Source organism: Homo sapiens, chromosome 12 (genome assembly GCF_000001405.40).
Source record: "Homo sapiens chromosome 12, GRCh38.p14 Primary Assembly".
NCBI lineage: Eukaryota > Metazoa > Chordata > Mammalia > Primates > Hominidae > Homo > Homo sapiens.
The window spans coordinates 43414755-43428094 of record NC_000012.12 but is presented as its reverse complement, the minus strand read 5'-3'; the positions used below and the strand labels follow the sequence as shown (position 1 = coordinate 43428094).

The following is a 13340-nucleotide window of genomic DNA, read 5'->3' as shown; positions in this document are numbered from 1 at the left end:
TTGATGCTCATTACAAATGCTAGAGTTCTTATTGAATTATGCACTAATGTGTTATTATGATTACAGAGGAATGTACTGTAAAACAATCTGATTAGAATTCATTGTAATAAAAACAAAAGAAAATGCTTTAAGGGGTAAGACTATAAATGTTTATGAATAAACCTAAATCCCAAAATTATTATGATAGCAATACAATAAGCTGGTATAAAATCATGACAAACTACAAATGGTATAGTTTTAGTTCATATTTTACATAACATTCATAATACAAAATAAAGAAAAACACCAGTGTAAAGTTAAGTAATTTAATACTGTCTTTTATTCCTTTCTAGTGAGATCTCAAAAACTTTAATTTCTTTTTACTTAACACTTATGATAGAAATGAAAATTGTTTCCTAATGCAAACTTGAAAGTCCCACCTTTTCATCAACAAATTCTAATGAAGCTCCCAGTATAACTCAAGTGTTTTGATAGATTTTCTCAATTCAAATTGTGATTCCAATGAAGGAGATTCTAATGTAGGGTTTGATTTTGATTGAGTCAATGCTGATTTTTTTTTTTTACCATGTAAATTCATTATGTGGAATCCGCAGTTTGTGCATATTTTGTGTTTTATTCTTGTCAGTGCTCCAGCAGTTGTTCTGGAGGTCTTCAGCATAGGGCTGTGGTCTGCCAGGATGAAAATGGACAAAGTGCTAGTTACTGCGATGCAGCCTCCAAGCCTCCAGAGTTACAGCAATGTGGTCCAGGGCCTTGTCCACAGTGGAACTACGGAAATTGGGGAGAAGTAAGTCATAATATTTTCTAAACTTGTGAGATTATTACATCTCTGAAGACTGAAAGTAAAAAGCATCTTATACTGTTCAATAATCTGATTTCACTATACTATGTAGAAAAAGAATTTTTGTTTTTTTTGTTTTTGGAGACAGGGTCTCACTCTGTTGCCCAGGCTGGAATGCAGTGTCGTGATCTCGACTCACTGCAACCTCCACCTCCTGGGCTCAAGCGATCTTCCCACCTCAGCCTCCCGAGTAGCTGAGACTACAGGTGTGTGCCACCATGCCTGGCTATTTTTTTCATTTTTAATAAAGATGGGAATTTCACCATGTTGACCAGGCTGGTCTCAAACTCCTGGCCTCAAGTGATTCTCCCGACTAATTTATTTTAATTGAGTGATTAAACCAAGTTCTTTTAATAGATGTTCTGTCATGGTTTAGGTCACTCATTCATGATTTAAAAAATGCATATTCTAGATTTTTCAGCAGACTCTAATATGCTAGGCAATATGTCTTTGAATTACTAGTATCTTTCTAAAATTGGTTTATTCTCTTAATTTCTTAGAAAATTAGGTTGATATAAAAATAGAAAACTAGAATAAAATATAAAACATGTTTAATCCTATTACTAAGTTATGCATTTGGCAAATCTTTTTCTTTAAGCCAGATAGTTGTCAGTTATTGAGCACTTGCTTCATGCACTGGCACTCTCTAGGAACTGGAAATAAAAAGATAATTTTTTAAAGTCACTTTTAATACTAACCTCCTTCGTAATGTGGAATGGTAATAAATAAGAAGCAAAGATTTCTATTAGCTTTGGATAAATAAAATGAATGACTTAGTCAAATGTTTTTGCTTAATGATTTTTAGCACATAATTTCTGTTCATTGGGAGTTTGAAACCATGTTTTTAAAGTACACCCAGACCAGGTGTTAATACATATCAAGCACATTTTTAAGATACAGTTTTACTGTTTTCCAAAACGAAAGTACTTCTATTTCTGAGTTTACATGCACTTATTTTGAAAATTCAAATTATATGTCCAAATAGAGATACAAACTTTTAGCAAGATTTGGTATATTTCCTGCCAGGCTTTTGTTCTGCATGAGTTTTAGAAATTGGTTCACATTATACAGCTGTTTTGTTATTTGCTGTTTTTATATTATATATACTGAACATTTCATGTTTATAAAATTAGACGTACCTTATTATTAATAGCTTTCATGGTTACTTAGTAACCTGTTGATTGGATATTGTACATTATGTAATTAATGCTCATGACTTAGATAAATAAATTTTGATTCTGGCTTAACCTGCCAACATTATCTTATAGGTCCTGGATATCTTACTGAAATATATTATGATACTAATCCTCAAAATCTGGTCAATTTTTAAAGTCGTGGAATTGAAACTTTGATTTATTTTTTTGTCTAGGGGGAAATGTTGATAATTATGAAGTAATTATAAACTTAAACGCTACCATTACTAGAGTAACATTACTAGAGTAAACTAATTATGTTAAAATTACTAGAATAAACATAATTACTAATTATGTTTAAACATTGAATGAAGCAATACATTATTCTCTTTAAAACCACAGTTTTGAATTTTCCTATTCTTGTTTTTAGTGTTCACAAACATGTGGAGGAGGAATAAAATCAAGACTTGTAATATGTCAATTTCCCAATGGCCAAATATTAGAAGATCACAACTGTGAAATTGTAAACAAGCCACCTAGCGTAATACAGTGTCATATGCATGCTTGCCCTGCTGATGTGTCATGGCATCAGGAACCATGGACATCGGTATGATAGCACTCTTGTCTGTTAACATGTCATACTTTAAAGTTTGAGTCTGAGTGAGGGAGAGTTCATTGTTTTTCTTTTCTTCGACTTTTATTTTACATTCAGGGGTACATGTGCAAGATGTGCAGGTTTGCTGCATAGGTAAATGTGTGCCATGGTGGTTCGCTGCACAGATGATCCCATCACCTAGCTATTAAGCACGGCATCCATTAGCTAGCTATTCTTTCTGATGCTCTCCCTGCCCCCCACACTCCTCCCCCAACAGGCCCCAGTGTGTTGTTCCCCACCATGTGGCCATGTGTTCTCATCATTCAGCTTCCACTTATAAGTGAGAACATGGAGTGTTTGGCTTTCTGTTCCTGTATTAGTTTGCTGAGGATAATGGTATCCAATTCTATCCATGTCCCCGCAAAGGACGTGATATCATTCCTTATTACGGCTGCATAGTATTCTGTGCTATGTATGGTATGATAATATTCTTATTCTTTTTTGTTTTGTTTTGTTTTGTCTCTTTTGCTTTAATTTATTCTCTTTATAAATTGTGGGATGCATACACTTTGTCTTCTCCAGTTTCTTTTTAAAGTATATCATTGGCCCTCTTGGTTTGTGTTTTGAAATTTGATAGTTTGGAAGAGGAATCTATTTAATTTCAAGTAGTGTAACATATATAATAGTTTTTTTATATATTTATTTTTTAATATGTGAACTTTGAACCATACTACTGTTCTAATGGAAATATTTTTCTCCGTTTTATGTTTGGCTTGCTGTCAATTAATCAGGACTATTATATTATTTATGTTTATATATAATGTTGACGTTGTGCTTGTAAAAATGGCAAATTAAGGCTGTGTCTTGTTTAGGCATATAATTATGTGTGGCTTTCATCTGTTAATATCCATAACTGCTCCAAAAACCAAATAGTATTCTTTAAAACTTGTTTTTTGTCATTATCCAACTTATTATTTTGTTTGGAAATGTGAAAATATTATGTTTATAAAAGTAGAGAAATTTACTTCCATAACAGAACTTGTTTACAGTTTTTTACATATGTCATGCAAAAGTTTAATTTATGTAATAATCTATAGATTATGCATTTCTCCCACTTTGTGGAGTTAGTGGTTTGGGAATATTTTAATTTTCTGGGTTTTTATTGGAGCCATAGACAAAACTCATAAACTTTGTTCATGATTATTTAGTAGCCTTCAAATATCTTTTTTTTGAGGAGTAATTAATATATAACTATATTGAAATAGGCATTTTGATTACCATTGATATTTTAAATCAAGAATGACCAAGTACATTGCCATTAAGTGAACTGATTTGAGTTTATAATCTATTTGTAATTAAATTTATAAAGCTATGTGGTTCTTTATTTGAAAATTAGTTATAACTCCAGTTTTATAACCAACCCTTGATGCCTGCTCTTGTTTTGTTTTGCCCTACCCAAACATCTTTATAATAAGATATAAACCCAAGTTTCAAGTCATGTTATTTGAAGAGTAGGTCAAGCTCTGGTTCAGGCTGAAATTCATCTTTATAGTCAAAGTGTGACTGATGATATTAAACAACAGAACATTTTAACTTTATAGGAGGATCTTAAAGTGAAATTGCTGCCTCAAAGGACCATCATCTTGTGGGAACTAATGAAAAACATATTTTGCCATGGAAAGCACTCACATATGTATTTAATAAATGTCGTTACTGACCATCTACTATATCCTAGGCACTGTGATCCAGAGACAATTGAAACATATTTCTTATCCCTATGGAGTTTACAGTTTACTTGGGGAGATTTGAAATACTATAAGAACTCACTATAAAAAGATATTTTTATTAGCTATCTTAGATTGGAAATCCACTTTCTGCTTACTGTGTCTCTGTTCCATCTTCTTTCATTTTATTGGTTTTAGTTTGCAAGCCTAGTTCTTAAGAAGACTGTGGATTACTTTCTTGGAATTTTTTCCCAATTAGGAGAGCAGAATCCTAACTGCTAATGAGATTGAATTGTAATGGCATTTGTTTCTGAGCATAGACGTTTTATTTTCCCTACCCATTCATGACTTCAATTCACCAAGCATTAAACATTTACTTAGGTCTCATGCTTTATATTAGATATTGAAGCAATTAAAATTAAGTGTTTGTGAGTCAGATTCTCTGTTTTAGAGGTCAGCAAACTATGGTCCAGGTACCAAATCTGGCCTGTTGCCTATTTTTAAAATAAGTTCTATTGGAACACAGTCATGCTCATTTGTTTACGTGTTATCTATGGCTGGTTTTGCACTACAGCAGTAGCATTGATTAGTTGCAATAGAAACTCTGTAACTCACAAAGCCTGAAATATTTACTATCTAACTTTTTCTGGGAAAAGTTTGCTGACCCCTGTTCTATTTAATAAACATTATAATGCTTTTAAGTTTAACATAAAAAGGTACTTAGATTTATAGAATATTAAAATTACAAATAATTCATTCCAGGTCAGTTTTAGATGTTTTTGATCCTTTGATATTTTACATTTTAAGGTTTATCAACCTTCTCTACATATCCACTGTGATATTCATGCAATGTTTATGTAAATGTATCTATACTATATTCCAATATATTTTTGTTATGCTATTTTTTGTATGTAAATTATATCACAAGTGAAAAATCTGAATGCTCATTAAAGTCCTCTGTATAGATGACTTTTCAACCTCACAAAAACAAATGACCAAGAAAACAATAATCACAGATTGCCAAATAGTAAGACAGATGTGCAGAATTATTTAGTGTTATTACATGTATATCCCAAAAGGAATTCATTGAATAATTCACTCTTTGCACTATGAAGAAATGTAGTATTTTTATTTTTTTGATAAGTTGAATGTATTGAAGTTTTAAAAATCACAATAAAGGTTTGTATAGAATTTTTACAATCATATTTACTTTTTTATATGTATGAAGTACTTACATATTATTAGAGTGACTGGATTTCTTTTATTATATGAAGCATATTTATTTGTTAAATTAGACTTTTATATTAAATGGGTTTAGGGGATCTGAAGTTCTGTTGTCAATACCAAATATAACATTTTACCTCTTTCAGTGTTGGTGCATATTAGACAAACTTCAGAATAGCTTATTAGCATATTAGATTAATATTCTTTCATGGATAACTTTAACTTCAACAGATCCTGTTGACTAAGTAGAAAATTAAGAGTGTGTATGCATGCATGTGTGTGTGTATGAGTGAGTGACATGAAATCTCAGAAACATTTTTCATTTTAAAGCAAATGAAATGTGAAATGTAAAATTATTTAAAATATTATTAGAAAGCTTTAAGATACATTTAAATTTTCTTCATGTTGTAGAAAGTCTTGTGCTGTAATAAAAAAAGGAATAAATAAATCTTAGCCTATGTTAATTTAATGGCTACATTTTTGGTGATTAGTCAGCGTGAAATGATTGTATTTTAACCCGTTTATTAGTGGGTATTGTGGCTTTGTGCTTTATGTCATTCATATGTATGTTGTATTTTTACTCCTTGCACTTAAAATGTTCCGAGTCACTGAACAGATCTTATATTATTAATATAAGGAATGCCTCCTTTCTTTCGGTGGTGTTTTTCTTAAATAACAAACTGTTAATTTCTCTTATTAAACATTTAATTGTTGAATAGTATATGTTTTCATAATTGTATTTAGTTTATGTATAAGCTACTGTATTTTTTACATAATATTCTTGTTAGAAACTAACACTGGGATTTAAAAGTATAAGACTTATTTGTTAGCAGTCAATTTTTAAATACTGTGAAATTTTTATAATTTTCTCTTTATATATTATAAACAATGAATACAAATTAATGATGTAAGCAAATTTATTTAATAAGTTAAAAATAGATATGCTTATGACCAAGGTAGTCTTTAAAAGGTGAGTAAAAGTTTTACTTTTCTCATTCATATATAGTAAGGGACATTACGTGTAACACAATTCAACTAGCAAATGCTCTTTAAGTAAATTCATATTACTTAAATTTTCTCACTAAGTTTCATTTTAGAAGTAATTTATTTTCTTGGAATGTTTTTATTCCTCACATAGAATGAAATCATATTTGGTAAACAAATAGTGTGTATTCAGTGTGCTTTGGGAATGATGACTATCCAACAGTAGGGAAGAGAATATATATTTTTTTCCTTTTTGCCTTAAAGATTGTTTTTCCTCACACAAAAAAAGAGAAAGTTTTTTTTTTTTTTTTGTAAATGAAAGCTTGCTACTTGAACCCTAAATTCTGGCGCATTCACTTTGTGTTTCTTCTTAAAAAAAATGTCCTTCTGAAACATTGTGCAGAAAAAAATATATACTGTACTAAATCTATTATATGATATAATGGAATGCAACAAATAGAAGCACTGTCAGAAATGATCATGTAAGCCGGGCATAGTGGCTCATGCCTGTAATCCCAGCACTTTGGGAGGCTGAGGCGGCTGGATCACTTGAGGCCAGGAGTTCGAGACCAGCCTGGCCAACATGGTGAAACCCCCGTCTCTACTAAAAATACAAAAATTACCTGGGCGTGGTGGCATGCGCCTGTAATCCCAGCTACTCTGGAGGCTGAGGCAGAAGAATCGCTTGAACCTGGGAGGTGGAAGTTGCAATGAGCCGAGATGGTGCCACTGCATTCCAGCCTGCGTGACAGACCGAGACCCCATCTCAAAAAAAAAAAAAAAAAAAAAAAAAGAAGGAGGAGGAGGAGAAGAAGAAGAAGAGGAAGAAGAAGAAATGAGCATGTAGTAGCAGCAAACACCGGTAAATCTGACATTTGTCCATTTGAAAAGAGCACTAAGGGTCTGAGCAAAGGGTGTTGGGCTCTGCCTCCCCCTGTAGCTCCCATTTAAGAGAAATGCACTCAGGAAGAAACTGCCTCTGTTGCTCCTAAGGCCAGCAGGAGCCAGGCAATGTGTAGGCAAATAGTTTCAAGAAACTGCCACTTCTTTATGTTGACTTTGTAAAGTGGAGTGTTCAGTGAAAACATAGTAATTGTTTTCTTAAATTTGAAAAAGACACATAAGTATAGTAAACAGGTTAGAAATATATTTTAAAAATAAATTTTATAATACACTTCTCATAACAATTAAGTATTTAACTAGTATTTTTCCATTTATTATGTTTTCTACTGTATCTTTCTAAAGTACATTCATTGATTCTCCCCAAAAGTATGAGTATCTACTACATATTAGACATCGTAATGGTCACTAAAAATAAACCAGGCACTGTGGACAAGGTGTTTGCAGTTTAGCAATGAATGTAATTAATAAACAGGTGGCCAGAATGCCGGGTGAGATTCCTAACACATTTCAGTAACAACCATGTGATTTATCATACTGAAGACCCATAATATTTGGGGCTTACTAGGTTGAGATAATCCAAGAATTAGTAATGAAGATTGTATTTAACAGTAAAATAATTCGGCAATTGTTCCTTCTACAAAGCCTAAACTAGTAGGCTATTCTGTCATAACCTGGCAAGAGATAAGCAGTGTCCTAATTCCCTACCATAAAAGAATAATATTTTGCATAATTGCAGCATCTACCTTTTCTGCACATGTGGATTTCATATGTCACCAAAGAAGAGAATGTAGATGGATGTATAGTTTGTCCTAGATATGATGTTCAGAAAATAATTTTGAAGACAAAATTGGGCCCTGCAGATTTGAAATGTATGACCTGGGAAAAATTTAAGTGGATACTCTAATTATTGGTGAGATCATAAAAGAGGAGACTGTGTGTGTGTGTGTGTGTTTGTGTGTGTGTGTTATAATGTTGAGTGAAGTTGGAATGTACAGTATAAAATAACCCTAAAAACTCTCAATATGAAATGGTTATAGGCCATGTTTTTTTCTATATGTTTCCATGTTAAAGAAAGTGAAAGTGTCCATGTTTCCATGGCAGTTCTCCTATTTTTCAGGCATAATGCTTTAGGAATGTTTAAGCATCTCAAGAAATTGTTGTCAGTGTTCTACAATATCTATGTGCTGTATATTGAGGCTGTTTATAGAAGATATATAAGCATTCTTAATATTAGTACATTTAGATATCCCAAATTTTTGTTATAGAAACTTTGTGTGTTACCTTCCAATAGTTTGAGAAAATCATACTTTAATTTCTACATTATCACATCACTCAGACATTAACGTTTTTATGTTTATTCCTTGTTAGGAATAAACATTTTTAAGTCATTTGATTTTTAATTTTTTGATCATACGTATCATTCTCAGTAGAACATTTTGAGAATGTGCCCATATATATGTATTATATAGTCATACATTGCACACATAAACTAACATATGATTATGTGATTTATAGAAGATATACAAGTGTAAATTTAAAAGGGTAAGTTGAATAATTAATGTTAAATATAATTTTTATTTTGTGAATGGTAACTTTTCTCTCACAACTGTTCTAACCATTTAATTTTTTTAAAAGTAGTAGACTCGTTAGTTTTGAACATTTTGTTTCAACATTGTGCTATAGCAGTTTTAAAATATGGTTTATTTCAATATGTGGTTTCAATAACTTCTTTAGCTGAAAAATATACCTCACAAAATACCTCCAAATAACAAGGTTTGTCACTGAATGCTCCTGATATATACCAGTAATTGACTTCAAATCCAGTATAAATAATTATTGGAAAAAGATTGAAATTTGCTTCACAAATTTCTATTTTCCAGGTTATTCAGTTCTTGAAGTACTACTAAAAGAAGCTGTAGTTCAATATTTTAACAAGAAGCTTTAAAACTCAGTGAAACTTTGAAATATTCGGAAGCCATTTAAACAGATTAGAAATTTTTGTTTCAACATTTTAGAAATATACAATTGGCATATCGTTTCTGAAATGTTTGCTTCAAAGTTTTAAAAATATGCCCTTGGCGAGCCTGGGTGCAGTGGCTCATGCCTGTAATCCCAGCACTTTGGGAGGCCGGGGCAGGCAGATCACGAGGTCAGTAAGATTGAGACCATCCTGGCCAACATGGTGAAACCCTGCCTCTACTAAAAATACAAAAATTAGCTGGGCGTGGTGGCGCGTGCCTGTAATCCCAGCTACTCAGGAGGCTGAGGCAGGAGAATCGCTTGAACCTGGGAGGCGGAGGTTGCAGTGAGCCAAGATAGCGCCATTGCACTCCAGCCTGGCGACATAATGAGGCTCCGTCTCAAAAAAACAAATGCCCTGGGCAAAATCACCTAGCAGGAGAAACGTTTCCAAACATTTCAAAATGTTCTCTCCTGAGTAGGAGTTTCTAAAAGTAGTTGCTTTCTCAACTACTGCTAAATGTTTTCTTCACCTTAAAGACTAGATATTAGGTATCACATTTTTCTCATAGAAAAAAATTCAGCAAATTTGGAACAAGCCTCTTTTTGGTAATATAAAAATTGGTAATTCATCTTTATGAGCCCATTCATCATTATGATTTTAAACTTAACCAGCAAAAGTCTGTGTGCTTAAAACTAAAACATAAACCAACCACCAGCAGCAGCAGCAGCAGTTGTAGTTGCAGTTCCTCCTGGCACTCCTCATCTCACTACAGATGATTTTGAGTTATACGTATGATAGAGTTCATATATCTTCCTCAGTGTGCATGTATGAGCTGCAGTGAGTACACTGAAAGTGGATGACAGAGTGATGGTCTCCTTCTTCTGTCAGGAAATCTAATGAGTTATAAATGTTGTATGTCAGACTGACATATAGCCCCATGTAGTAAATCTTGCTTATTTTCCTGGAGTGTTAGATAAAACAAATATGAGTATATGTCCTAAAAAATAATGTTTTGGGCACTCCAGTGAATCACCCTTGCCACCTCTGAGCAATATATCCTTTTGAAAGACTGTGACTTAGAAACTCTGATACTTATGAGGAATATATGTTCAATAAGATCTCTCAAACCTTATAAATTGGAGTCAGTATTGGAATTACGTAATTTGTTTTTATAGCCACCATTGACCGCTTCCTGGTTGTAATCCTCACCCCCTAGATTGTACTTAAGCTCATACACTAATTTACCCAATTCCTAACCAGTGGTAGGACATATCCAGGAAGGTACTTTGTTATCACATTATGTTGTAACATGGCCTTTTATGTATTAAAACTCTTATACATTATTATATGTTATACATCTACTTGTAAGAATTAAATGAAATATTGCAAAGTTTTTGATAGTTCAGTTATTAGGTCACATAGTAAATCCTTCTGTGTCAGTTAACTGAACTGAAAAGTGATCCTATTAGACAGCTTTTGATATTTTGCAGCTGTGACTCAGGGAAACCCAGAGGTCTTAGAAGTAGTTATGAAGGGAATCATGGCCACTGCACTGCCAGAATTGCATGTTACCATTCCACTCAAGATTATTGAGATCCCATATCTACCAGGCACTGGGTTAAGAATTGTGGGAAACAAGATAAATAAGAATGGCATACTCTCCTCAAAGGACTCACAGTCTAGGAAAAATTAAATATACATGCAAATAACTATAACAAGCCAGAAAAGGATGTCATAGGAAGTCAGAAAATATGCATCTAATTGGAGAAACATGAAAGGATTTATGGGGGAGAAGGTATATGTCTAAGGATTGATGGGTAGATAGGATTTTGATTGGGAAAAGAGGTACCAGGTAGGAGACCACCTATAGCAAAACCATAGAGACCAGAAAAAAGTAGTTCAGTTTGGCCGGGCGCGGTGGCTCACGCCTGTAATCCCAGCACTTTGGGAGGCCGAGGCGGTCGGATCACGAGGTCAGGAGATCGAGACCATCCTGGCTAACACGGTGAAACCCCGTCTCTACTAAAAATACCAAAAAAATTAGCCGGGCGTGGTGGCGGGCGCCTGTAGTCCCAGCTACTCGGGAGGCTGAGGGAGAATGGTGTGAACCTGGGAGGCGGAGCTTGCAGTGAGCCGAGGTTGCTCCACTGCACTCCAGCCTGGGCGACAGAGTGAGACTCCGTCTCAAAAAAAAAAAAAAAAAGGTCAGTTTGACTTGTTTGTAATGACAAGCCAGTTTGTGAAACTAGTTTGTGAGAACAAGGGGTGGGCATAAAGTTAGAAATATGAATTAAGGCCATGTCAAGAAGACCAATGAGGATCATGCCTAAGAAATTTTAAAAATTCTATAGGTATAGAAAAACTTGATTTTTTTTTTTGGACTGGGTGTCAAAACTGTGTCTTGAGAAGATTAGTGGACAATTCTCATCATAAAATATCAGTAAACTGAAAAGTGACAGACTAGAGACGAAAAGTCAAGGAGGGAATGTTCCAAAAGCCGAGGATGATTTAGGGGCCATTCGTGCAGCTAGTCATCAGATGTTTGTGGATTACTCACCCAGAGCACTCAAGTGTCTGTAGGTAGAGTAGAATAAGCCAGTGGAGGAGTGATTGATGGGGCTGTTTTTGACCCAAGGGTGGGGTGGCATCTGAAGGTGGGAGTAAAAGAGGTATAAGACAACATCTGAACAGAATAAAGTTGAGAAAAGCTGTGATGGGTAATTTTGAGATCAGGGAAGTTTGGACTTGAGGAGAGTAAAAGTTTGGGCAGTGAGTGAAAAAGTCAATCTGAGAGCACTAGGATTACACATTGCAGTGTGAAGGGCCCATCTGATGATGCATAACAAGATTTTGTATTAGATAGTCTCATGTAAGAGAATATAATCTTGACTTTACCAAAAGAAATGTGAACTTTCATTTACCAAGAGTTTGAAGACATATTATTCCTAAGCCTTGAAATATTAAATATTAAGTCTATCCTAGATCTTGTAGGTAAGAATAAGAGCTGTGGTATTAGAATGCCTCAGTTTGACTCCTGTTTTATTCAGTGACCTTTGCCAAGTTACTTAGCATTTCTAACATTTCATTTTCTTAGAATGAAAATAGTAGCTCACTAAGGAGGGTATTTTTTAAGGATAAAATGGAATAGGAAAAGTGGTTGAAATAGGGCCTGTGACATAAAGGCTCAATATATTTTGCTTATTGTTATCACTTATCCAGTAAGTATATATTATTTTTCCTCGAGTTAGAAATCCAAATATAGTAGAAAAGGCTAATAATATTTCAAACAATCTGAAACAAGTCTACTTGAGAAAGTTGTACTCTAGTATAAGAGAGACATCAATTTGGACTGGAGTTGCTTTTTTTTTAAGCAAACTTTTATGGAAATAAGACATCCAGCAAAACTTCAAATCATAATGGTCCAGTTCAATGAATTTTCCAAAGTGAACACGCCTATGTAGACAATGCTCAAACCAATAACATCAGCACCACAGAAATTCCCCCACATCCCGCCTTGCAGTTACTATCTTCCCAAAAGGTAACCCTTTTCTGACATCAAACATAATAGATTCATTTGCCTGCCTTTGAACTTTTTTGAATGGAACTTAGAAAATTTGTGACAGTTAGGATACTGTACTTGAGACTCATTTACGTTGCGTGTAATTGTAGTTTCCCATTGCAATCCTAGTACTGTATTGTATAAACATATAACTTCTATGACTTGTATATAACTTGTATGACTTCTATGAATAGATGAATTAATATGATTTGTATTAATATTTATCCTTCAGTTGACAAACATTTGGGATTGTTTTTAATGTGGGACCTACAAACAATGCTGTGATGAGCATTTCTCAGACATGTCTTTCGGTGAACATGTATATCCATATCTGTTGGTTAGGTAGCCAGGAGTTGAATTGCAGGATCTTAGTGTATCTAGTATAAACTAGTGTAAACTAGTTTAGTTTTAGTA

General features: G+C 33.7%; 1 protein-coding gene across 3 annotated transcripts in view; it reads left to right on the top strand.

Moving 5' to 3' along the window:
• The window catches only part of ADAMTS20 (ADAM metallopeptidase with thrombospondin type 1 motif 20), a 199441-nt gene that overhangs the window by 124109 nt on the left and 61992 nt on the right, over positions 1-13340 (top strand). For all 3 annotated transcript variants that reach the window (XM_011538754.3, XM_017019979.2, NM_025003.5), the window contains 2 exons: positions 626-787; positions 2405-2581. In XM_011538754.3, the coding sequence (XP_011537056.1) occupies positions 626-787; positions 2405-2581 (339 nt within the window). The remainder of the gene's footprint in view (positions 1-625; positions 788-2404; positions 2582-13340) is intronic.